This window comes from Homo sapiens, chromosome 15 (assembly GCF_000001405.40).
Source record: "Homo sapiens chromosome 15, GRCh38.p14 Primary Assembly".
Taxonomy (NCBI): domain Eukaryota; kingdom Metazoa; phylum Chordata; class Mammalia; order Primates; family Hominidae; genus Homo; species Homo sapiens.
Window position 1 is genome coordinate 42,768,706 of NC_000015.10, and position 27,906 is coordinate 42,796,611.

The 27,906-nt window shown below is 39.8% G+C and overlaps 1 protein-coding gene across 10 annotated transcripts in view; it reads right to left on the reverse strand.

Annotated features, from left to right (window-relative positions):
• The window catches only part of TTBK2 (tau tubulin kinase 2), a 182,271-nt gene that overhangs the window by 29,976 nt on the left and 124,389 nt on the right, over positions 1–27,906 (reverse strand). For all 10 annotated transcript variants that reach the window (XM_006720402.5, XM_047432189.1, XM_005254173.6 and 7 more), the window contains 4 exons: positions 25,939–26,096; positions 14,714–14,930; positions 8,326–8,537; positions 6,430–7,018 (listed from right to left, as the gene is read on the reverse strand). In XM_006720402.5, the coding sequence (XP_006720465.1) occupies positions 6,430–7,018; positions 8,326–8,537; positions 14,714–14,930; positions 25,939–26,096 (1,176 nt within the window). The remainder of the gene's footprint in view (positions 1–6,429; positions 7,019–8,325; positions 8,538–14,713; positions 14,931–25,938; positions 26,097–27,906) is intronic.

Consider the following 27,906-nt stretch of genomic DNA (forward strand, 5'->3'; position numbering starts at 1 on the left):
TGCCATCCCAATCAAGCTACCAATGACTTTCTTCACAGAATTGGAAAAAAACTACTTTAAAGTTCATATGGAACCAAAAAAGAGCCCGCATCGCCAAGACAATCCTAAGCCAAAAGAACAAAGCTGGAGGCATCATACTACCTGACTTCAAACTGTACTACAAGGCTACAGTAACCAAAACAGCATGGTACTGGTACCAAAACAGATACATAGACCAATGGAACAGAGCAGAGGCCTCAGAAATAACACCACACATCTACAACCATCTGATCTTTGACAAACCCGACAAAAACAAGAAATGGGGAAAGGATTCCCTATTTAATAAATGGTGCTGGGAAAACTGGCTAGCCATATGTAGAAAGTTGAAATTGGATCCCTTCCATACACCTTATACAAAAATTAATTCAAGATGGATTAAAGACTTACATGTTAGACCTAAAACCATAAAAACCCTAGAAGAAAACCTAGGCAATACCATTCAGGACATAGTCATGGGCAAGGACTTCACGACTAAAACACCAAAAGCAATGGCAACAAAAGCCAAAATTGACAAATGGGATTTAATTAAAACTAAAGAGCTCCTGCACAGCAAAAGAAACTACCATCAGAGTGAACAGGCAACTTATAGAATGGGAGAACATTTTTGCAATCTACTCATCTGACAAAGGGCTAATATCCAAAATCTACAAAGAAGTTAAACAAACTTACAAGACAAAAACAACCCCAACAAAAAGTGGGCAAAGGATATGAACAGACACTTCTCAAAAGAAGACATTTATGCAGCCAACAGACACACGAAAAAATGCTCATCATCACTGGCCATCAGAGAAATGCAAATCAAAACCACAGTGAGATACCATCTCACACCAGTTAGAATGGCGATCATTAAAAAGTCAGGAAACAACAGGTGCTGGAGAGGATGTGGAGAAATAGGAACACTTTTACACTGTTGGTGGGAGTGTAAACTAGTTCAACCATTGTAGAAGACAGTGTGGCGATTTCTTAAGGATCTAGAACTAGAAATACCATTTGACCCAGCAATGCCATTACTGGGTATATACCCAAAGGATTATAAATCATGCTACTATAAAGACACATGTACATGTATGTTTATTGTGGCACTATTCACAACAGCAGACTTGGAACCCAAATGTCCATCAATGATAGACTGGATTAAGAAAATGTGGCACATATACACCACGGAATACTATGCAGCCATAAAAAGGATGAGTTCATGTCCTTTGCAGGGACGTGGATGCAGCTGGAAACCATCATTCTCAGCAAACTATCACAAGGACAGAAAACCAAACACCACATGCTCTCACTCATAGGTGGGAATTGAACAATGAGAATACTTGGACACAGGGTGGGGAACATCACACACCAGGGCCTGTCGTGGGGTGGGGGGCAGGGGGAGGGATAGCAGAAATACCTAATGTAAATGATGAGTTGATGGGTGCAGCACACCAACATGGCACATGTATACCTATGTAACAAACCTGCACGTCATGCACACGTATCCTAGAACTTAAAGTATAATAATAATAATAATAAAGACAACTTAGGGATAAATCTAGTCCAACTTCTACAACACAAAATTTCTATCACAGCACCTATAACACTTAAACTGTTTCTTTACTAGATTGAAGACCCTTGAAAGCAGTGAGGTGACTAACTGGGCTTTTTATTCTTGGTACTTAGCATAGTACCCAACTCACAGTAGACACTCAACAAATGTTGCACACATGAGTATATCAACCATTGCATGCTGAGGTTCCACAAAAATCTCCCAAGTGATATTCCAGTCTGTACTCAAGCACTTCACAAATGGGCTTTCTTTACTTTCCAGTGCAGTCCATCCAATCACTGATCCTTTCTGACTGTACATAGGTTGAAGTGTAATATCAAATACAATTACAAAAAAACTTTCCTATGATTATAATGACCAAATTTTCCAGATCAAAAATAGGAATTCATGGTCAGACAGAGGACATTTGGCCAATCCCCAGTCAATATACATACATTCAACCCTTCTGCAAAATCCATTTTAAGAAGTTAAACAGATGGTAACCAACCCAAAGAGTCTTCACCTTTTCACATTATTAAAGCACACCTCTATTAATACACGTGTGGATCATTCCTGTGTCAGTGGAGGCTCTGAATAACTCCATGAGCTTTCACACAGTCACTGTAGTTTATACAAGGGATCCAAATAAGCAAAGCATGCCTTGCCAGGAAAGCCACATGGAACTATTTCTTTTTTTTCTTTCCTTTTTTTTTTTCTTTGACACAGAGTCTTGCTCTGTCGCCCAGGCTGGAGTGCAGTGGCGCGATCTCGGCTCACTGCAACCTCCGGCTCCCAGGTTTTTAAGCAATTCTCTGCCTCAGCCTCCGGAGTAGCCGGGATTATAGGTGCTGCCACCACGCCTGGCTAGTTTTTTGTATTTTTAGTAGAGATGGGGTTTCACTATCTTGGCCAGGCTGGTCTTGAACTCCTGACCTCGTGATCCGCCAGCCTTGGCCTCCTAAAGTGCTGGGATTACAGGCGTGAGCCACCACGCCCGGCCTGAAGCATTCCTTAACCTTCCCAGAAAGATTTTTAATTACCATGCTAAAAAAAAATTAGTTGAGAAAATAAAGATATCCAAAATTCCACTCCTAAGTCCTAGGCAGATATGTCTGTGTCCCCATTCCTGTAAACAGCCCCACTACAAATCACTTCAGGTTGTTTAAATTAACTGTTTAGATGTAACTTTTCATTGCCAACCTGACAGGTTGGTGCCAACTTGTTATCCCTGAAGTATAGCGTAAAGCCTGGAACTTAGCAGATACTTCACAGGTATGAAGAAATAAACATAATTAAGGCAATACAACTAACTGCTAATTTAAATTTTATTAGTGCTGGTATTGGTAGTCCTGTAAATACAGTCAGAGGAATTCTCTCAAAAGATGTTGGCTAACAGGTTATTAAAAATACTGCTACTCTTTTTCTTTTGGTACTGTTCCTTCTTTGTGCATTATTTTAAACCCCCTTTCCTTTTCTCGATCTCTAAGAAACAAGCCAATTAGGAAAGTCTTTCAGTATGCTGGCAATGCCCTGGTGTAGGGACAGAAGACTGGTGTAAGGTGTAATCTCCTGGCACGAGGGACGGAACACCAAGTCTAGCCTACCAGCGTCTGACTCTTCATGGATTCTCCCTGTCCTGAGGCTTAGTGCCCTCGGTACGAAAAGAGAAAATAATATTCCCTCTGCTTGTTCCATGGAGTTGCAGTTAAGATCAAATAGGGAAGTATTCTGTAAAGTATAAACGTAAGGTAATAATGGTAGACAGCCTCTAAAATGGTTCCCAATGACCCAGAGGTGTCTCCTGGTATTCACACCCTCGTATAGACCCTCATATATTGTACAGCGTTGGTCTTTGTGACTAATAGAATATGGCAGAAGTGATGGTATGTCCCTTCTGACAGATTAGAAAAGACACTGTGGCTTCCATCTCGGTGGGAATGCATTCTCTTCACCTCTCTTCCCCCATTTCTGTCTCTCTCACCTCACTCACTGGGAAAGCCAGATGTCATGTCAGCTATGGAGAGGCCCAAATGGCGAGGAACTAGAGCCTCTGGCTAACAGCCAGTAAGGAACTGAGGCCTGCCAACAGTCATGTGAGTGAGCTTGGAAGTGGATCTTCCCTTTCCAGCCAAACTTTTAAATTGATTTTAACCCTGACTGAGAGCTTGACAACCACCTCATGAGAGACCACACATGAGCTAGAACCACTGAACTAAGCCACTCTTGCATTTCTAGCTCCAAGAAATTGTGTGAAATAATGACTGTTGTTTAACGATGCTAAATTTGGGCTAATTTGTTACATAGCAATGGCAATGGATAACATATGGGTGATGTTACTAGTGCCCAGCCACATTTACACTGTTTCTAAAGGTAATATTAAAATGAAGCACTGACTGGGTACAGTGGCTCATGTCTATAATCCCAAGATTATAGACAGGCTGAGGTAGGAGAATCTCTGGACCCCAGCAGTTTGAGCCCAGTCTGGGCAATACAGTGGGACCCCGTCTTGCAAAAGATTGAAAAATTAGCCAGGTTTAGGAGCTCACACCTGTAATCCCAGCACTTTGGGAGGCCAATGTGGGAGGACCACTTGAACACAAGAATTTGAGACCAGTCTGGGCAACATGGAAAAACCCTGTCTCTACAAAACAACAACAACAACAACAACAACAGCCCCATTACAAATCACTTCAGGTTGTTTAAGGTAACTGTTTAGATGTAAGTTTTCATTGCCAACCTGACAGGTTGGTGCCAACTTGCTATCCCTGAAATATAGCAAAATTAGCTGGGTGTGGTGACTCATGCCTGTAGTCCTAGTGACTTGGGACGCTGGCATGGGAGGATCACTGGAGCCCAGGAGCTCAAGGTTACAGTAAGGTATGATCATTCCACTGTGCTACAGCCTGGGTGACTGAGGAAGACCTAGCCTCTAAAATAGAAATAAAAAACTGAGAAATAAGTATACAATTGATGCAGCTGACATTTCATTAGAGACTTTCAATTAATACAAAAAAATTAGCCGGGCTTGGTGGTGGGCACCTGTAATTCCAGCTACTTGGGAGGCTGAGGCAGGAGAATCACTTGAACCCAGAAGGCGGAGGTTGCAGTGAGCCGAGATCACACCACTGCACTCCAACCTGGGCAACAGAGTGAGACTGTGTCTCAGTAAAGAAAGAAAGAAAGAAAGAAAGAAAGAAAAATAATTCAAAGATATCTAAAAATAAGGTCAAACATCACATACATGAACACAAGCCTATCAACAACTTGTCAGAGAAAACACCGCAGTAGTGTAAGAGAACCATGAGCACAATCTTTGTAAATAGGACAGCGTCGAGAGAGGGCAAAAAATACCAGGAGAAATGGAGCAAAGGTTTTAGAAAGCCTCCATGAAGGGAGGCACACCAGAATGCTGCTGGAAATATGCTAGAGCAAAAGTTAGTACACAGCATAATAGAGTTAAAGAACAAAGTGAACCTGGGAAGGTGGAAAGAGTGGATGAATGGAAAGAGGAAAGGTGGGTTGGGAGAAAGGATGAAGCAGGGAGGGAGGGAGTTAGTAGTTACCTCCCTCTAGCCCACATGATAGCTTTGTACAATTTGGAAAAGAATGCCCTTCCAAAAGGAAACAGCCCTGTGCCAAGATGCACAGTTTGGAAAGCAAAGTCTGGGGTAGATTTCAGCCCTAATTTGTTTCCTGGCTAGATTCCTTTATGCTGCAAACAACCTGCCTAACTATACAAAGCAGTCCCAGGAAAGAGGGACCTGCTAACTAACTCTGGTGAAGAAGCAGGCAGGCCTTTATTTCCCTATTTTGGAGCACAGGCAAATTTCTCAGAACTGTACACAAAATGTATTTTCACTGGTATCTTTTCCCACTGTTTTGCACTTGATGTGGAATTGTGTTCTAATAGAAAACCTTTCAGTTTGGGGAACAATGCTGTTTCTGGTGAGTTGGGGGAGGGGGACTGCTAGATGATTATGGAATTTAAGGAAACCTGGTAGCTCTCATCACATAAGGACAGATGTACCTGTGGGTGCCTAAGATTTGTGTCCACAGTTACTTATTTAGCCTGGGGGCTTTTCATGGCTTTGCTTGGCCATCTCTGGCTTTTCTGGGGCTCCTCCTCACACAGTCACCAGGGGCACCACTGTTTACTGGTAACAGGATAACAGGCTTCTCCAGCTGAATGCCCAAAACTGAAAATAAACAATAGTCGTTCCTCAAAAGTTTCCTTTGCAGAAGACCTGTATCATAAATGCCGCCTCTACCTGCTTGTTAAAATGAGGATTCCTGAGCACGCTCTTCCCCAGACCTGCTAAAACAAAAGTTCTGGAAGTGAGGCCTGGGACTCTGCATTTTGAACAGTGGCCATCAATGTTAGAAAATTACCGTTTAACAGGAATATGAAGTATGAGAAATTCCTGGGTGGACTTTATGAAAGAGAAAGGGAATTAAAGGCTCAGGCCTCCCAACAGTGTACAGTGTAAAGAACAAACCATGAAGGGTTAAATAGATGCCTTCCTCAGTAAATGTATAGTAAAAATTGCTAGGAACTTCAAAAAATTGTAACATATATAAACACACATAGATAGCTAGCGCTTGTAGTCTAATTAAAAATGTTATTCTAAAATTAGGTTATAATGACATTTCATGTATTGAGTTTGATATAATAAAAGAAGACCTCACTTTTTGAAAAATTTCATATTGGAGGGTTGACTATAGAACTTAGTACAAAATCACTCCCTGGGCCATCTGCAAAATTTAGGCCTGTACTGAAGTATCTTAGTTGATCAACTGTTAGTCCTTTCTTAATAGCACCTTGAGTGGATAACAGAGAATAATAATAAAAACAAATTTCTTACCGCTGTAAGGGGTCCTTCTGCCTGCGCCTCCATTAGACTTGTGGGCGTCGCTGCAATAAACTGACTAGCAGCTCCAGGCTGGAGTTCCAGCCTATCTGTATATTGTTCTGAAGCAGCAGTAGGAGGACCCTCTGCAGAAAGTGCTAAGACCACACCTGAGGTTTCCTTCTTTAAATGATCATTTTCTGCCCAAGGACCTAACTGGAGCTTTTCATCTTGAGGTGATGCCTCCAGGACTTGAAGTACTTCAGGCTCCTCATCAGAAGGACTTCCAGTTGTTTTATGTCCTACAGCCTCATTTGTCCTAAAATCCTGAAGGTCCTGCTCCTTGTCCACAATCACCCATTCTTTGGAATCAATTTCTTGCTTGCAAGAGCTCAGGTTAACAGCTATAAATCCATTGCTGCCACCACCATCTGCCTGCTCAGGGGTGTTGGCAGAAGCAGGCTTGGAGGCATCTGGAAGATATTCTTCATCATAGTGCCAGATGTGGTCAGTACGGGACACAGCAGGAACGCAAGGCTTATGCAGCAGAGCAGGGAGAATAGATTCTTTTCCTGCACTGGTATCTTTCTGCATTTTCTCCAGGCTTAAGGAAATGGAAAGAAGTTACTCAACTGTCCTAAGGAAACATTTATTATATAATATATAAGCTCCATAAAGAACTAATATGGACACAAAGATGAGAGAAAAAAAGATGGATAAAGCACAAGGAAAGTTTCACAGCATTGATAATGCTCTTCTCTACCTGCCACATCCTGCTTTGGAAGATGGAGCTCAGTTCTTTCCTCAGCAAGGCCCTTTTTAGTTCCCTTATTTTGTCAAACCAACTTTTTATTGAACTGAGCTTTTATCCCTATTGTATGTTGATATTTATTCTCAATATGAGCCACAACTCAAAATGTATAAACCAATGCCCCATCCATCCTTTCGATCGTGTGAGCGTGTAGACATGTGCTTACATAACATAGCTATGAATGATTACCATGTGAGGAAGAACACACATATGTGAAGGATTGTTTAAAATGGACGCCAGATTGGAGTAGGCCAGAAGTGGCTGAATTGTCTTGGGAAACAGTAATTACCATCTTAGTCAAATTCACAGTCCCTCTAACCTAATATTTCATTACCAATAGTAGCCACTAGAGATGCACCATTGAAGGGCATGACTACTATTAAAGGAAATTAGGTCTTAATGCTGCGAATACTACTGAAGTTTCTATAATTCATAAATATATCCCACACTTTTTTCATTTCTGTCTTCTGTTATCAAAATTTGTTGTAGGGATAATGTGCCTCAAAACCATGCACTACAATCTTTACCTATGTATATAGATCTCTCAAGTTTCACCTTCCTTTCTCTCTAGGTAGATTGCAAACTCTCGAGGGCAAGCATGATATACTTATTGGTATCTGTTTTCCCACAGTATCTTACTCCTAGAGGGTCTTCACTAAAGTGAATTGAACTCACCGTCCCTTGTGTATGAATTACTTTTTCCCCTCCTTTATGTATTCCCCTCATCTCTGCCTAATGCCATCTTTATCATGCCCTCTCCAGCACTACACTGTTGTGTGGAAGAGATTACTTTCTAAACAAAGTTACTGTAAAAATGTTCATTTAACTTGTACCTAGTGTTAGGAAGTCATCAGCTCTTACTGCTCAGCTTCCAAAGCCAAAGGACATGCTATAGAATTTATAATAATTAAGAATCAGGATAATAATAATTAAAAACATGGATGAAAATTGGAGCTGAATAGACTCAGTGTTACAAAAATGCAAGGATTTCTTATTTGAAAGACTTTATGTAACAGAAATATACAATAATAATAACAACAATGACAACAATAATAATGGTACCTTAGAAGCTTTAAAAAGAAAAATACACTATTTTATACCAGGTCTCAAGGAACTTGTCAGTGTCTGGCTTTGGCTCCAGGGTCAGACGTTTTTCCAGCTCAAAGCTGTGAATGGAACGTAACTTTCGCACCAGTGGAATATCTCTGTCTGGCTGAGTAATCTCTGAGCGGACACGAATTGGTGACCCAAGGCTTGGAGCATTGAGAAGACCATTTGCCTGGCCATGGCTGTTCTCCTCTTCAGTAGCAGCCTATCCAAAATATAAAATAAAATCATGAAAAACATTCTAGGCAACACACATGAGAGGAATCATTGAAGCCTTTCAAAATAATATAAATAAATGATTAGATGTGTTTTCAGATGATTAGGATATTTTGGCTAGTTTACTTCATTACATTCTTATCTATTAACTCTTTATTAAATGTGTTTTCTTAATTTATACTCAGTTTCAGTATTATTTTAGGTTTTTAAAATACTTTTGGCACAAACATAAATAATCTAAAAATGTTTAACAGACTTGGATTTTTGAATTATGTCTGACATGAGGCTTGTAGTATCCCATTCCACTAACCTGACACTGAAACCTGGAAAGGATGTTCCCTATGAGACATAAGTGGTCTCACAATTTAGGAGAGGCTGCCAAGCCTGAGTCGCTATACCTCTTTTCTCATTCTCCCTCTAAAAAACAAAAAACAACAAAAAGCCTGGGGGCCAGACTACTAAGGAGCTGAGGCAGAGGAGAAGGAGGATGACTGTGAGGCAGCCCAGGGGGTGGGACTATTTAAGCACAGGTGCCTACAGCAGCACATTATCAGGGAAGCAAAGCCTTATATAAGGAGTGTGGTGACAGAGGGAAGTCTGGGACATCTACTCTGATTAGAGACCCTCAAGAGGATGCCTAACTGGCTCAAATTGGTGATATACTCAGGGTAGCAGCAGAAACACAAGCCAGTCTTCCTTGAAGGAAAGTTTCCCCAAACCCCAATTTAGGTCTCCAGAACTCCCATCAATTATTAATTAATTAGCCAAAAAAAAAAAGAGAGAGAATCAATACATGAGAAGGCCTGCTACCATGATTGACACAACAGAAATAATAGTCAAAATTAAGAAAAACATTTAAAACTCCCAAATATTTCAGATATTGAACTGGTTCCAATATAAAATATAGACCAGCTATGCATAAATGTTTAAATAAATAAAGGTTATTATAACAAAGATCAACAAAGGGTTATTTGGAATTAAATGATTGATTAACTTAATATTTAATATTCAATTAACAAGTTAAGCAGCAAGTAAGCAAAAAAAAAAAAAACAAAAAAGGTTGAAATTATTAATTAGTGAAGTGGAAGACACAGCCAAAGAAATTACCTAGAATAAAAAACAGCAAGATAGGCCGGGCGTGGTGGCTCACATCTGTAACCCCAGCACTTTCGGAAGCCAAGGAGGGTGGGTCACAAGGTCAGGAGTTGGAGACTAGCCTGGCCAACATAGTAAAACCCCATCTCTACTAAAAATACAAAACAAAATTAGCTGGGCATGGTGGCACACGCCTGTAATCCCAGCTACTCAGGAGGCTGAGGCAGGAGAATCACTTGAACCCAGGAGACGGAGGTTGCAGTGAGCCGAGATCGTGCCATTGCACTCCAGCCTGGGCAACAGACCAAGATTCCATCTCAAAAAAACAAAAACAAAAACAAAACAAAACAAACCCAGCAAGATAAGAAGAAAATTATGAAAAAAGATATTAAGAGATATGATGGATACAATAAAAAGCCATAACATATGTCTAACTGGAGTCCTAGAAAGAGATAATAGAAAGAATGAAGAGGTAGTAACATTCAGATACAGAATGGCTGTTATTTCCCAGAACATATTTTTATACAAAAATATGAATAAAAATATTCAAGGGACACAAGATATCCTAAGCAAGATAAATATATGCTTAGAAACATCATAGTGAAAACGCAGAACACCACAGACAAGAACAAGAACTAAAAAGTAGCTGGGAAGGAAAGATGAAGGTGGGGGAAACAATCACTTAAAAAGAAAAAAACAATTAGAATGACAGTAAGTTTCTGAACACCAGTGACTGAAGCCAGAGGAAAAATAACTATCAATAACTTTATATTTGGGCTGGGCGTGGCGGCTCACGCCTATAATCCCAGCACTTTGGGAGGGAGGTGGGTGAATCACTTGAGGCCAGGAGTTCAAGACCAGCCTAGCCAACACGGTAAAACCCTGTCTCTAATAAAAATACACACAAAAAATTAGCCAGGTGTGGTGGTGCATGCCTGTGGTCCCGGCTACTCGGGAGGCTGAGGCAGGAGAATCGCTTTAACCCAAGAGGTGGAGGCTGAAGTGAGCTGAGATTGCGCCACTGCACTCCAGCCTGGGCAACAAAGCAAAACCCTGTCACAAAAAAAAAAAAAAAGAAAGAAAACAAACCAAAAAAACCCCCGACTTTATATTTGGCATAAACTATCTTGAAAGAATGAAGCTAAACTAAGTACATTTATAGATAAGAAAATACATTTATAGAAAGAGTCCTCTACCAAAAGACATGAGGTAAAGGAACTTCTGAAGGAAATATTTCCGGAAGAAAGATGAGCCAAGGACTTTCAGAAATGAAAGGAAATGGTAAACGTCTTTGAAAGTCCATATAAACATTACTTGTATAAAAGAACAACATTAATAATCCAATTCAAGGCTGGGCGCGGTGGCTCACACCTGTAATCCCAGCACTTTGTGAGGTCGAGGCAGGTGAATTACTTGAGGCCAGGAGTTCAAGACTTAGCCTGGCCAATACGGTGAAGCCCCATCTCTACCAAAAATACAAAAAATTAGTCGGGTGTGGTGGCACGTGCCTGTACTCCCAGCTACTTGGGAGGACGAGGCACGAGAATCACAACCCAGGAGGCGGAGGTTGTAGTGAGCTGAGATCGCACCGCTGCACTCCAGCCTAGGTGACAGAGCGAGACTCTGTCTCAAAAAATAAATAAAATAAATAATAATCTAATTCAAGTCATTCTTCTTTGTTGCTGTCTGTTTGAGACAGAGTCTCACTCTGTCACCTAGGCTGGAGTGCAGTGGCGCAAACTTGGCTCACTGCAGCTTCTCCTCCCAGGTTCAAGCGATCCTCCACCCTCAGCCTCCCAAGTACCTGGGACTACAGGTACGTGCCAACATGCCCGGCTAACTTTTTTTTTTTTTTTTTTTTTTTGGTAGAGATAGGGTTTTGCCATGTTGCCCAGACTGGTCTCGAACTCCTGGGCTCTAGTGTTCCTCCCACCTTGGCCTCCCAAAGTGCTGGGATTATGGGTGTGAGCCACTGTGCCAGGGCAAGTCATTCTTTTTCTTTTTTTTTTTTTAAAAGAAAGAATTAAAATTAGAAGAGTACTAAAATGTTGGGAGAAGGGTGAATGAAGTTAAAATGTTCTACAGTCCTTGCAGTATCAGAAAGGTAGTTAGGATATTGCTTAATTTTAGACTTTTAAGTTAAAAATAACTGGGAAATTTCCAGGACAACTACCAAGAGAACAGAATTAGAATGTTTAAATCCCCAGTAAGTACAAAGAGAAAACAGAAGATGAAAAATACCAACAAAATCTGTAATGAAAAGAAAGGCAGGAAAAAGGCATTAAAAAACTGAATAGAAATTTAAAAGAGAAACAAGTTCATATAAAAATAATTTGGCTGGGCGTCGTGGCTTGTGCCTGTAATCCTACCACTTTGGGAGGCTGAGGCGGACAAATCACCTCAGGTCAGGAGTTCGAGACCATCCTGGCCAATATGGCAAAACCCTCTCTACTAAAAGTACAAAAATTAGCCAAGCGTGGTGGCGGGTGCCTGTAATTTCAGCTACTTGGGAGGCTGAGGTAGGAGAATCACTTGAACCCGGGAGGCAGAGGTTGCAGTGAGCCGAGATCATGTCACTGCACTCCAGACTGGGTGACAGAGCGAGACTCTGTCTCAGAAAATAAATACACAAATACAATAATAATTCTAAATGTAAATCAATTAAGCTGACTAATTAAAACATAAAGACGTAAGATTGTCCACTTATACTCCACTTAACAACAGTCACAACAGAATGAGAAAAAATAGAAAGATAAAGGCAGAAAAAAGATACACCAGGCATGTACTACCCAAAAGAAAGTTGGCATAACTGTATTAACATCTGACAAAATAGGCTTTAATGCTAGAAAAAAAAAATAGTAGGAACAGAATAGAAATAGTCATTATATAAAGAAAAACAAAACTTTTAATCACCTGGCAGATGTAAAAACTCTAAACTTGTATGCACTTAACTCATGGATGAAAAAAATCATTACGGAAAAATATTCAGAACAGAATGAGAATAAAAATACAACACACCAAAACTTTTGCAATACAGTAACAGAGATATTCATTACCTTCTTTCTGCTTGTCTTAGCTTATTCTGCTGCTTCTTTTTCTACTTTCTTGAGGTAGGATTTAGACTATTGATGTAAAACCTTATCTTTCCTAATGTAAGTATTTAGTGCTATACATTTCTCTCTCAGTACTGCTTTAGCTACCTCCCCAACATTTTGATATGTTGTGGTTTCGATTTCATTCAATTCTATGTAAATTTAAAAAATTTTCCTTTAAGGCTTCCTCTCTGACCCATGGATTATACAGAAATATGCTGTATAATTTCCAAGTGTTTAGAGATTTTCCTGTTGTCTTTATGTCACTGATTACTAGATTAACTCCAATATTTTTAGAGAACATAGTATGTGTGATTTCAATTATTTAAACTTATTAAGGTTTGTTTTGTAGCTCTGCTTTTATGGAATCTAACCTAAGACAGCGGTTACCTCAGTGGGGATAGGGTAGAAGCATAAATATAGAAGGAATATGTTAAAATATTCTAGTTCTTAGGGCAGATGGTGGATTCACATGCTTATATTACTATGCTTTGACATGATATATATGAAATCTTTTATATATAGTATAAGTAGATTTTAAAAGATAAATATAGCTGTTTTGAATTTTTCTCCTAGATGACCAATAAATTCCTAAAGTTATAAGCTCTATCCATGCACTTTTTCATGTATATATGTATATATATTTTTTGAGGTGGAGTTTCACTCTGTCATCCAGGCTGGAGTGCAGTGGCATGATCTTGGCTCACTGCAACCTCCACCTCTCAGGTTCAAGCGATTCTCCTGCCTCAGCTTCCCAAGTAGCTGGGATTACAGGCACCCACCACCAAACCCTGCTAATTTTTGTATTTTTAGTAGAGACAGGGTTTCACCATGTTGGCCAGGCTGGTCTTGAACTCCTGACTTCAGGTGATCCGCCCACCTTGGCCTCCCAAAGTGCTAGGATTACAGGTGTGAGCCACCATGCCTGGCCCTCATGTACATATTTTTACTTATACTTCTACTTCAACCACTTCTTCCATAAGACATGTTCCCAACTCCCACCCCATCTGCATGCATTTTAATTTTTTTAAATGTTTTGCACAATGTTCTGTCTTGTATTATATTTGCTTGTGCAGCTACATATCTACCCAAAGAGACCGTAAGCTCCTTAAAGGTAAAAGATGTATCTTAAACTGCACAGCACATAGCTTAGTAAATTGTCTTCAATATTTAGCTTAATGCTTTATCCAGATGTTCAAAATGAGAGCTTGTAATGTACAGCACTATACATTATAAATTCAATAAACTGCACATCACCATGATGACAAATAATGGACTTAGGGTCAAAACTATCTACCATTCAAATTTCACTGAGATTAAATAGTGATAGTGAGTAAAAGACAGAAACCAAAATAACTAAGATCTTCCATGTCAAGCGCCACTTCATTCTCTCGCATACACGGATATCCATATGGGCTGACAACTGAGAATGTCACTAGTGATTTTTTTTTTGCTATAAGAACAGTTTGTTCCTGGTGCCATAAAGACAGCCACAGCTGATACTAGAAAAATCTGACACTGACTCCCTGTCTACTTTCCACTACTCATTCCTGATTACTATTCATCCAGATTGTGCTTTGTCAACAGCCAAATCACATTGTGGCATATCACATCGATCCAGAGATCATTTTGCAAATGACTCCCATGACTGAACATATACACCTGCTATAGTCTGAATGTTTGTGTCCCCCCAAAATTCACATGTTGAAATTCTAACTCCCAATGTGAGGGTATTAGGAGGTGGGCCCCTTGGGAGGTAATTAGGTCAAGAAGGCAGAGCCCTCATGAATGAGAGTGGTGTCCTTACAAAAGAGGCCCAAAAGAGATCCCTTTCCCCATCTACCACATGAGGACTCAGCAAGGAGGAGCCACAAAACAGCCCTCACCAGATACCAAATCTGCCTAGCCTTCCTTCTTGGACTTCCCAGCCTTCTGAACTGTAAGAAATAAATTTCTGTTGTTTATAAGGTACTCATACCTTACAAATTCCAAGCTTTATCTTGTTTTTGTTGGCATCCATCTCTTCCCAAACATCCTTCTCCTGGGGACGGGGGTGTCCCAGAGATCCAGGCAATTTATCTGGTGACACACCAACAGGGATGCCATTTTCTCCATCGCTAAGCTGTTCATCTGGAAATACCTCATCTGTATTTTCTCGAAGCAAGTCTCCAGGGATGGGAGTAGCATTGGCAATTCTACATATGAAGGGAGAAAAAAAAGGCAAGAATCAAAAATTACTATGAGACTATCTTACATCATTTTATTTCTTCATTTAAATGAACTCCACACATAATTAAGAGAGTTAAAAAAAAAAAAAAAGCACCTTGAAAACTTAGGTTGGCCGGGCATGGTGGCTTATGCCTGTAATCCCAGCATTTTGGGAGGCTGAGGCAGTCAGATCACTTGAGGTCAGGAGTTCAAGACCAGCCTGGCCAACATGGTGAAACCCTGTCTCTACTAAAAATACAAAAATTAGCTGGGCGTGGTGGTGGGCACCTGTAATCCCAGCTACTTATGAGGCTGAGGCAGGAGAATTGCTTGAATCTAGAAGGCGGAGGTTACAGTGAGCCAAGATTGCGCCACTGCACTCCAGCCTGGGTGACAGAGCGAGACTCCAGCTCAAAAAACAAAACAAAACAAAAACAAAAGAAAAAGAAAAAAAAAACTTAGGTCATGCCAATCCTACGAAATAAAACTTTAAAATTTTGATCAATTAGAATTTTCAAGCTGATTTTAAAATACAAAATCTAAAACAATAACACCCTAATTTGACAATCACTTTAAAAGTAAAAAGCATTTCATCTATTTTCATAGAAGTCTCTGTCAATTATAACAACATTTTTTTTCTTTTTTTGAGACAGAGTTTCACTCTTGTCGCCCAGGCTGGAGTGCAGTGACGCGATCTCGGCTCACTGAAACCTCCACCTCTCGGATTCAAGCGATTCTCCTGCCTCAGCCTCCTGAGTAGCTGGGATTACAGGCGCCCACCACCACACTGGGCTATTTTTTGTATTTTTAGTAGAGACAGGGTTTCGCCATGTTGGGCAGGGTGGTCTCAAACTCCTGACCTCAGGTGATCTGCCTGCCTTGGCCTACCAAAGTGCTGGGATTACAGGTGTGAGCCACGGCACCCGGCGTGTTAGAGAATTTTTAAAAATTCTAAACAGGAAAATGTTAAGTGCTGTTGAACTCCAAATAAAATACAGAGATGAATCTCCAAATTAACATTCCATTTGGGAAGCAAGAATGACAATTTGGGGCACACACATAGACTGAGTGGGTCTCTGGTATATCTAAAGACCAAAGGAGAGGTTGGGGGTTTTATTAGAGAGATGTCATATACTGTTTTGAAAGAAAGTTCATTGGCATCAGAGAAGCTTTTGGGAGCTGGCAGGCTCTGACTGGTGAGTGACAGAGGTATGTAAATTTAGTCTTGGAGTCACAGCAGGCCATTTCAGCAGCTGGGCTTGTAAGAAATTAAATTCTTGGAGCAGGTGCTATGTGCCCCAAGTACTTTCTCCCTGGCCTCTTGATTGATTTAGTTGACTATGACAAGAATGACCTAATTTGTATAATCAACTTTCGCAGTGCCATAATGAAATAAACAGGTGTCAGATCAATCAGCTATGTTATTTTTTTACAGTGTGAAATGTGTATTACTTTTTCACTTGCAGATTTTTTTTTTTTTTTTTTTTTTGAGACAGAGTCAAGCTCTGTCTCTCAGGCTGGGGTGCAGTGGCATAATCTCTGCTCACTGCAACCTCCGCCCCCGGGGTTCAAGCGATTCTCCTGCCTCGGCCTCCCAAATAGCTAGGATTACAGGCATGCACCACCATGCCCAGCTAATTTTTTATATTTTTAGTAGAGATGGGGTTTTGCCATGTTGGCCAGGCTGGTCTCGAACTCCTGGCCCCAAGTGATCCACCCACCTTGGCCTCCCAAAGTGCTGGGATTACAGGTGTGAGCCATCGTGCCCGGCCACTTGCAGACTTTTTACTAAGCACCTACTACATGCAAGGCCCTAGCAACACAAAGAGGAAGGAAATTCTTGCCCTAGAGGGGAAACTAGACTTTCTGTAATTATACAGTTGATATAGTTCAGCATGAACTGACCTGGGGGAAAAAATAGCAAATATTAATTGGTATTTGTCTATATATTTCTTTCAAAGTAATTCCAGGTCTTATTTATATGGTTGGTCATCGCTCCCTTAGACCCTCCCATGAGAGGCTTTTCTAGTTCACAGTTTTCCTTCACCAAGTGAAAAGGCTCCTGCCAGTTCTGTAACTCTATATTCTAGGGTTTTTTTTTTTTTTTTTAAATATTGCTGACTGAACACAATACTTAGCACACAATGAAACCTCCTCTTAGAAGTGACCTGGAATGTCTCAAAGTAGAAAAATTAGTCTTCAGTACATTATACTGACTCCTGTAATTACTGTGAGTGGCAACATCCTCTCAGTGAGCCACTTTAAGGGTCACAGTTAGATCCTGGCACTGGTGTCACGAGTATTTCATATGCTCTGAGAAGACCAGTGATTTTTCAGGGACTTGTTCCACCTGACTTGGTAACCGATGACCTTCACCACTACCTTTGCCTAAATGGATCAATGCTAGAATGAACCTCTTTATCAACAATTTACAAGGATATAATCTAGAAAAGCACTGATAATGGCTCCCCGAAAAAAAAGAAAGAAAAAAAAAAAAACTTACAACCTAGTAAAGTAGTATCTGTAGTTCTGACAGTGGAAGCATATTTAAAAGGTAGTTTGGCCTAAAATAGTTCAAATAGTTCAAATCAATAGTTCAGATTTATTATAGAGATAATTAAAGATCAGAAATAAACTGGCTACTAACAGATTTTTCAGATATTAGTTCAATATAATTTATTTATTGATAAAAGAGTCATAATGGACACTAACATACATGTACTACATGGTAATCCAAATGTTTATTGAAAGAATTCCCTCTATTCCTGAGGAAAGAGAAAGGGAAATAGATGAATATTTGAACTCAAGAAGCTTAGTCTATTATCGTCACCTTTTTTCCATTTTAATCACTCAGTATTCTTTCAAGTCCCTTTTTCCCTTATGTCTAGCCACTATTCTGCTTTTTTTCCAACTACCTCAATTCCTTTGCATTTCCTTCTTTCACACCTCAGGAAACAAACCACACCTCCATCTCTGAATACACTTCTACTTTCATTCAATCCTACTTTTTCTCTTATCTCTTATGCTTCAATATGATACCACACACTCCAAGGACCTCGTCCATCTTCTCCACACAGGCTCTCTTTTATAGGACTCAGGTTCCTCTCCCACCCAGACCCTCCCTCTGCATTTATTCTCCATTCCTTTCTCCTTCCCTGGTTATTGTTTCTTTTCCTAAACTCTGATCCAAATCTTGAGTATGCAATATGGAAAGAAATAATTCCTTCCCAGGAAAATTATATCATGTTCAGGAATATGAATGAGTGAGAAAGTATACATAAGAGTGTTATTAGCACATGGTCTGTGTTTCCAGGCAAGGTATTATATAACTGAAGCAGATTAAGGGAATAAGTAAGAAAATGTGTGGAAGAACTGAAGAGATATGAGAAAAAATAGTAAGAACGAATATCCTTTTCATATTTCATTCCCCATAATCTAAGGCAAACTAGTGCTTGTGGGCCAAATCTGGCCTGCTTACCTATTTTTTTTTAATAGACTTATTGGAACACAGTCAGTCTCGTCTGTTTACACGTTGGCCATGGCAGCTTTTGCACTATAACAGCAATGACAGTAGTGACAGAGACAGCATAGCTCACAGATATTTATCTGACCCTTTATAGATAAAGCTTGCTGGCTCATGATTTAAAGCGTCCTCTTACCTTCTAAACTTTCATTCTCCCTCTACGAAGAAATTCAGGGTTCTGGGACATACACTATAAATTTTTCTCTTTAACACTGATTCTCCAGGTATTCTACCATATCATTTGCAAACAGAAAAAAATCAGAAGTTGGCAAACTTTTTCTTAGAGGGCAGACAGTAATGGTTAGGCCTGTGGGCAAGATTCACTGATGGATGCTACAATTAATAGGAAAAGTATGACAAGAAACACAGTGCTGACATAGTTGCAAATATCTTCCCACAAGATTATTTCTTACAAAGAGAAAAACAGTAACTTTATAGTAGAAAGAACTGGCCACTGTAACCAAATTGTCAACATAAGTATCATCAGTAATGAGACATACTGACATTATGTACCTCCTTGTTTAATGCCATAGGTTTTCCTCTGATCTTTGTTCTAAAGTTATCTCATAGATTCTGATAAGTAGTGTTTACATTATCATTTTTTTCTATAACTTTTAGTTTTTATTTTCCTTTTCACCCAAGAGTACAGTCATGTATCGCTTAACAACGGGGATACATTCTAACAAATGCCATCGTTAAGCAATTTCATCATTATCCAAATGATCACAGCGTACTTAAAAAAACTATATTGTATAGCCTATTACGTGCCTAGGCTATATGGTATAACCTATTGCTCCTAGGTTACAAACCTGTACAGCATGTCACTGTTCTGAATACTGGAGGCAAGTGTAACACAATGGTTAAGTATTTGGGTATTATAACATTATCTAAACATAGAAAAGGTAGAGTAAAACTACAGTATTGTAATCTTATAGGACCACTGTCATATATGCGGTGTATCACTGATTGCGATGTCATTACACGGCACATGACTGTAGTTTAATAGGTTCTTAAATTTCCAGTAAAAGGGCCTTTGATATTTTAATTTTGTTGGTAATTTCTAGTTTTCTTGCAGTGTGATCAGATAATGTAATACTTCTACTTTATGGAACTACTTACATGTTTGTTTGTGACCTAATACCTGATCAATTTTTGTGAATGTTCCAGGGGCCCCTGGGCAGGAGGTATAGTCTCTATCATCAAGGTATAGAGTTCAGAAAACATACATATGATCTACCTTACTACGATCACGCTGTTTAAGTCTTCTATCTTCCTATTCTCTGTTCACTTGATCTGTCTTAAACTGAGGGTGGTACATTAACATCTCCAACTATGAGTGTGTTTTTATGTCTCCTTGAATATCCTGCAGTTGTTGTTTCCCAAAGGTGAGTGTCATGATTCTGGTGACTAAATATTAATAAATTTTGTATCCCACTTGTGAATTGTGGCATTTGGCATTAAAAAGTGCCCTTCCATCTTTTCTAAGTTTTTTGTTTTGGCTTGAATTCTACATCATCTGTTATTAGGATCACTTCTCTTTTCTATCTTTCTGATATATCTTTGTCCATCTCTTTCTTACTTTTTTTAGGTGTGTGTCTCTTATACACAGCATATGAATATAGCTATATAACCCAAACTGAAAATGTTTTCCTTTTAATAGGTGAGTTAACCCCATGTATATTTATTGCTGTGACTGATGTGTTTGGTCTTAAGTCTGCTGTAGTATTTTACTTCCTTAAATTGTATTTGAGCTTTGTAACATGATGTAATAGGATATACATAGACAGTAAAATGGTCATTACAGGGAAGCAGATTAACCTATCAACTCACAGTTACTTTTTTTGTGACAAAGAGCAGCTAAAATCTACTTATTTAACAAAAATCTCTAATACAATTTTATTTTTATTTATGTCCAAGACTTCTGAAAATACAATTTTATAAAGGTTATTCCTTATGCTGTCCATTAGATCTCCACACTTGTTCATCCCACATATCTGCTATTTTATATCCTTTGACCTACATCTCCCCATTTCCTTTCCTTCCTCCCTCCTTGAACCCCCTGTGGTAACCACTGTATCATTCTCAATCTCTGTGTATTTGAGTGCTTTAAAATATATATACGTGTGTGTGTGTATATATATATATATGTTTTTTGTTCACATATAAATGAGATCATGCAACATTTTTATTTCTGTCTGGCTTATTTCACTAAGCATGTCTTTTAGTTCCACCTATGCTGTGGCAAATGATAGGATCTCCTTCTTTTTAAAAGCTGAATAAGGTCGGGTGTAGCGGCTCATGCCTGTAATCCCAGCACTTTGGGAGGTTGAGGCAGGTGGATCACCTGAGGTCAGGAGTTCGAGACCAGCCTGGTAAACATGGTGAAACCCCATATCTAATAAAAATACAAAAATTAGCCAGCTGTGGTGACGCAGGCCTGTAATCCCAGCTACTCAGGAGTCTGAGGCAGGAGAATCCCTTGAATCCAGGAGGCGGAGGTTGCAGTGAGCAGAGATCATGTCATTGCACTCCAGCCTGAGCAACAGGGCAAGAATCAGTCTCAAAAAAATAAATATAGAAAAATAAAAAGCTGAATAATAGTCCATTATGTGTGTGTGTGTAAGTATTTATACATCATCTATATTCCATTGTGTGTGCATATATATATACAAATACATACAATACACACACACACACACACACACATATACATTTTCTTTATCAATTTGTCCATCAGTGGGTATTTAGGTTGTTCCTGTATCTCGGCTATGGTAAATACTGCTGCAGTGAACACGAGAGTGCAGATACCTTATTTGGTCAACTAATTTTCAACAAGGGCACCAAAAGGACACAGTGGGATCCAATAAATGGTGCTCTTCAATAAATGGTGCCGGAAAAACTGGATTTCCACGTGCAAAGGAATTGGACCCCTATTTTACACAATACACAAAAATCAACTAAAAATGTATAAAAGACCTATATGTTAAGACCTGAGACTATAAAACTCCTAGAAGAGAACATAGGAGGAAAGCTTTGTCATAGTATTTTATTATTATGTGCACAGTATCTTGCTATACTTGCTATATTTCTTCCTCTACAAGATGTATTCTTTGTCTATTTTTTTTTTTTTTGAGTCAGGATCTCACTCTGCTGCCCAGGGTGGAGTATAGTGGCGCGATCTCAGGTCACTGCAACCTCCATTTCCTGGACTCAAGCCATTCTCCAGCCTCAGCCTTCGGAGTAGCTGGGACTATAGGTGCACAACACCACACCCAGCTAATTTTTGTATTTTTTGTAGAGACAGGGTTTCACCATGTTGCCCAGGATGGTCTCAAACTCCTGAGCTCAAAGTGATCTGTCCACCTTGGCCTCCCAAAGTGCTGGAATTACAGGCATGAGCCACTGTGCCTGGCCCGTACTTTAATTTATAAATAATTTGGGGGGTGGGTATTTCAGAAGTTTTGCCTTTTTGTTCTAATGCTTATCTTTGGACATAAACCTTTTTAAATGCTCTTAGTTCTCTGTGAGTTTTTGTTTGTTTGTTTTGTGACGGAGTCTCACGTTGTTGCCCAGGCTGGAATGCAGTGGCATGATCTCAGCTCACTGCAACCTCTGCCTCACAGGTTCAAGCAATTCTCCTGCCTCAGCCTCCGGAGTAGCTGGGACTACAGGTGTGCGCCATCATGCCCAGCTAATTTTTGTGTGTTTTTTTTGTTTGTTTGTTTGTTTTGAGATGGAGTCTCGCTCTGTCATCCAGGCTGGAGTGCAGTGGCTCAATCTCAGCTCACTGCAAGCTCCACCTCCCGTGTTCACGCCATTCTCCCGCCTCAGCCTCCCGAGTAGCTAGGGCTATAGGCACCTGCCACCATGCCTGGCTAATTTTGTTTTTGTATTTTTAGTAGAGACGGGGTTTCACTGTGTTAGCCAGGATGGTCTCGATCTGACCTCATGATCCGCCCGCCTTGGCCTCCCAAAGTGCTGGGATTACAGGCGTGAGCCACGGTGCCTGGCCAATTTTTGTATTTTTCAGTAGAAACGGGGTTTCACCATATTGGACAGGCTGGTCTCGAACTCCTGACTTTGTGACTCGCCTGCCTCAGCCTCCCAAACTGCTGGGATTACAAGTATGAGCCATCACACCCAGCCAGTTCTCTGTTTTTAAATCTAACCTTCTACTATTTGGTTTCTCAGTTTTAACATATTATTTTGTTTTTCTTCTTCAGGGACTCCAACAACCTGACTGTTATTTCTTCTCTGCCTTCAATTTGCATTACCTTCTCTCTAACTCTTTTGAATTATCTCATTTTCATTCTCTCAGGGTTTTTTCTTTGTCCTTATTCAATGACTTCTATTAAATTTTCACTTATGTCTATTCTCCTTTGTGCACTTTTTAATATATTCTTCAATTATGAGATAATTTTGTCTTTGCCTTCTATTTCTTTCCTGAGTTCAATCAATTATGATTTCATTTCTTCCTCTCCCAATAAGGTCTGAACCTCAGCCCTTGGGCAGGGGTGGGTCAGTTCTTGCTTGGATGTTTAATCTCACTCAGTCCTAGGCATCATGGCTGGACCTTGTATCTGCTATTCCTGTACCTGTATTCTTTATATTTATCTTTATTTCTTATTAATCAATCCTATGTTATTCCAATTCCCTATTACTGACTATAGTTAACAATAGCTTGTGTAGGCTGGGCGTGGTGGCTCGTGCCTGTGATCTCAGTACTTTGGGAGGCCGAGGCAGGTGGATCACCTGAGGTCAGGATTTCGAGGCCAGCCTGCCCAGCATGGTGAAACCCCCTCTCTACTAAAAATACACAAATTAGCATGGTGGCACATGCCTGTAATTCCAGCTACTCGGAAGGCTGAGGCAGGAGAATCACTTGAACCTGAGAGGCGGAGGTTGCAGTGAGCCGAGATCACGCCACTGCACTCCAGCCTGGACAGTGATAGAGTGAGACTCTGTAGCAAACAAACAAACAAAAATACTAGTGTATATTTCAAAATAGGTAGAAGGTTTGAAATGTTCCCAACACAAAGAAATGATAAATGTTTGAGGTAATGGATATCCTAATGACCCTGATTTGATCACAACACATTGCATGCATGTATTAAAATATTGCATGTATCCCATATATATGTATAATTATTGTGTAGCCATAAATAATTCTTTGATTTTTTTTCCCTATTCAAATTACTGTGTAGTTTCTGTCTCCTGACTGGACCCAAATTGATACATCTTTTTTCCTCCGTCACTCCACTAATGAAGGACACTTCTCCCTTTTTTTTCTTTTGAATTATGCATATTTTTACTTCCCTGAAATTCATCATCTGATCTATCAGGACACTTTTTAGTATTTTCCTTATTAGCATGGGTTTAGTCTTTCTAGCACTGGTTTTATTTATTTATTTATTTTTTGGGATCGAAAGACAGCTGGAGTATGGCACTGGTTTTAGATCAACCTTACATCCCATTGCTAATTTTCATCTTCCCCACAGTTTTTCTTGATCTGTCTTTATAAAGTCTTCTGGCAGGGGTAGGTGAGGCAAGAGCATGAAAGATACTGCACTAGGATTTGTGGTCTCATTTTTTTCTCTCTTTTTATTTACAGTTATTTTGAAGCTTAGGCATCTTCTACAAGTTACGCTGAGGACATGGTTTTTCTGTGTAGCTTTAGTTTTCCTTCTTTGTTATTCTGTGTTATTTTGGAGAAAATATTGGAAGATGGGAACATAAACTGCCTTCATTGTCTTTAGGTCCCTGAAGTGCTATCACCTGGATTTTTGCAAGTTTGAGACTTATTTCTAACAACAATCAAAGGGGAAGGACAAAAACACTAGAACAAAATTTCTGGACTGGCTCCAGCTCTGCCACTAATATTTACCTAAAGTTGGATTTACTTCAGTGTTAGGATTATTTCCTCACTTGTAAGATAGGGTGGCTGGACCTAGGGCAGTGGATCCCAAACTCTGATAAGCATGAGAAATACTTGATGCATATGGACTTCTGTGCCCCACTTCTAGGCATTCTGATTCAGTAGGTCTAGGGTAGGTCCCAGGAATAGGCGTTTTTTAAAAACATCCGTGGTGATTCTGGGTCTAGTCAGGGTCTCACATTTAGGAATGCTTAGACATGATAGTCAGTGATACTATCCAGTTATGTGAGTCTATGAAAACTCTTCCGATGATTCAACAAGTTCTAGTGATCCCATCTTTCAATATAAAAATCACAGCTGGGCACAAGGGTGCATGTCTGTAGTCCAGAGAGGCTGAGGTAGGAGGATTGCTTCAGCCCAGGAATTTGAGGCCATAGTGCACTATGACTGTGCCTATAAATAGCCACTGCACTCCAGCTTGGGTAACACAGCCAGACTCCATCTCTTAAAAAAAAAAATCAGGCCGGCGCAGTGGCTCACGCCTGTAATCCCAGCACTTTTGGAGAACAAGACAGGCAGATCACTTGAGGTCAGGAGTTTGAGACCAGACTGACCAGCATAGTGAAACCCCGTCTCTACTAAAAATACAAAATTAGCCGGGCGTGGTGGCAAAGGCCTGTAATCCCAGCTGCTTGGGAGGCTGAGGCAGGAAAATCGCTTGAACCCAGGAGGCAGAGCTGAGATTGTGCCACTGCACTCCAGCCTGGGCAACAAGAATGAAACTCCATGTTTAAAAAAAAAAAAAATAAAAGCAATGGATGAGTGGTATAATGTCCCAATTAACTTAAATTGTATGATAATTTGTCCCTATTCAGTTTCTTTTCCCCAGAGACGGGTCCCACTCTGTTGCATAGGCTAGAGTGTAGTGGCACAATCATAGCCCACTGCAGCCTCTAACTCCTGGGCTCAAGTGATCCTTCTGCCTCAGCATTTTGGGTATTTACCTTTTTTTTTTTTGACCAAAAAGTTTGAAACAACCAAAGCAGGTAAAAAATTAGAAAAAAAAAAAAGACAAATAAAAAAACAAAATAAAAGACAAAAGGAACTCTAATACACGTAGAGGAAAAAACATTAACAATAAAAAACTAAGATCACGGAAATAGATCATAACCTTTTCTTAATACATTATGAAGGTTAAATCACTTTAAGAGGAACATGTTACATGCTTTGTTCCCACTAAACTTTGGCACAGTATAGTTAGATATAACTGTGGCACATTCTTTTCAGGGTTCCATATGTTATTTGGAAACACAACTAATGCTGGTCCTCATTTTGAAGAATACCCATTATAAATTTGATATCAACAAGTCACATAAGCTCTAAGCTCTAAGCTCCCATTTCACAGTATAATCTATTAGTACTATCTAAAGCAAGTAATTCCAAAGGCGTACATAAGAGCAATGTTAATTCGAGGAGATCCACAGGCTTTCCCGGATGTCTTAGCATTTGGTCATCTGAGGGAATCTGGATGAAGTAAATTTTTGCAAATATAATACATCCAGGAAAGACACCACCAAATGATCTGTTTAGGACATACCCAATTGCAGCAGGGGTCAAGCGAGTGTGCAACTGAGGGGTGGTAGAAGTAGTGGTGGTTGTTAGGGAGCCATCATTTCCAGTCTTCTCCCAGTCAAAAGGGTCACTCTCAATTACTCCAAAAGTCTTGATGCTATTGTCAAACACGGATGTAAGAAGCTAAACCACAAAGAAAAAAACTAGAGTAAGTGAACAGTAAACATAGTCACTTTATTCTATAAGAGAAAGCACACCAGACTCATAAAATGATTTTGTAATGTGATTTTCTTTAAAAACTGATGGCTCAAATTGCGAAATTTGAATAGGAACTATATGTAGATGATGATAGTGAATTAATGTTGATTTTTCTCCGTTGTGTAGAATGTTTCTGTTTTCGAGGGATACATAATGAAGCATCATATCTATAACCTACTCTCAGATGGTTGGCTAAAGGATGTGTGTTGTGTGTAAGTGTATATGTTTGTGCATTCAATTGAACCATCTATTTTATCATTTATTTGTCAAAACAAAACAAAACAAGGACTTTTTATATGTTTCAACCTAAAAAAGTAGCCAGTGTTAACATGTAACGTGTCTAGGTAAGGGGAATATAGAAGTTCATTGTGCTTTCCTTCATTTTTTTTTTTTTTGCAGGTTTAAAAAATTCTTAAAATATGTGTGTGCATGTTTGTGTGTCTCCATATATAAATTATCAAAAAATTGCTTGATTTATATTCTGTTAGTTTGATTTATATCCTGTATAATTTCATTTTTTGTCTTTCAATTCCTAAAGTTTGATGTGATCTTAAGAAGGGTCTCATAAAAGGCCTCTATTGTTTCTGTCATAGGCAACATTTCCAATTTTATGATTATAGCTTTATTCTCTCCTCATCATTTCTGGAACTCTGTTACTATCCTATCCTCTGAGATTCATCTTGTACATTTCCTGCCCCAGACCTGAAATCAGCACTTCTTTGGAGGATTTTGCGCAGGTCTGATTTAGGCTTTAAAAATATTACTTCACCAGCCTGGCGAACATGGTGAAACCCTGTCTCTATTAAAAATACAAACATTAGCCGGGTGTGGTGGTACACGCCTGTAATCCCAGCTACTCAGGAGGCTGAGGCATGAGAATTGCTTGAACCTGGGAGGCGGAGGCTGCAGTGAGACAAGATCGTGTCACTGTACTCCAACCTGGGTGACGGAATGAGAATCTTTCTCCAAAAAAAAAAAAAAAAAAAAGATTACTTCAGCTATTAAGTGGTCAATAGATGCCATAAACAGGGATGGGAATGAGGGTACTTGGAACAGATGACCAGTTAAGAGATTACTGTCAGCTGAACCAGCATGGTAATAGTAAAGGTGATAAGAACTGCACATAGATTTCTGTCCTGAGCCACTGGGTCAGTGCAGTGACATGGAAAGCAGTGAGTTTAGGGAGGAATAGGAAATGCAGATATAAATTTGGGTGTCATCAGCATATAGATATCAAGAGATACTGGCCACGCACGGTGGCTCACGCCTGTAATCCCAGCACTTTGGGAGGCTGAGGTGGGCGGATCACTTGAGATCAGGGGTTCAAGACCAGCCTGGCCAACATGGTGAAACTCTATCTCTACTAAAAATACAAAAATAAGCAAGGTGTGGTGGCAGGTGCCTGTAGTCCCGGCCACTCGGGAGGCTGAGGCACAAGAATTGCTTGAGCCTGGCAGAGACTGCAGTGAGCCAAGATTGTGCCACTGCACTCCAGCCTGGGTGACAGAGCGAGACTCGGGTCTCAAAAAAAAAGAGAGAGAGAGAGATATTATTTAAAGCCATAGAACCAGCTGGTATTATTGAGGAAGAATAGAGAGCAAAAGATCAAGGGCTATAGCCTAGAGTACTCCAATACTTAGGTGAAAGAAGAGAAAGACTCAGCAAAGGAAACAAAAAAGGAGTGGCCAGTGAGGCAGGAAAACCACGAGTCTGGTATTCTAGACTAAAGTGAAGA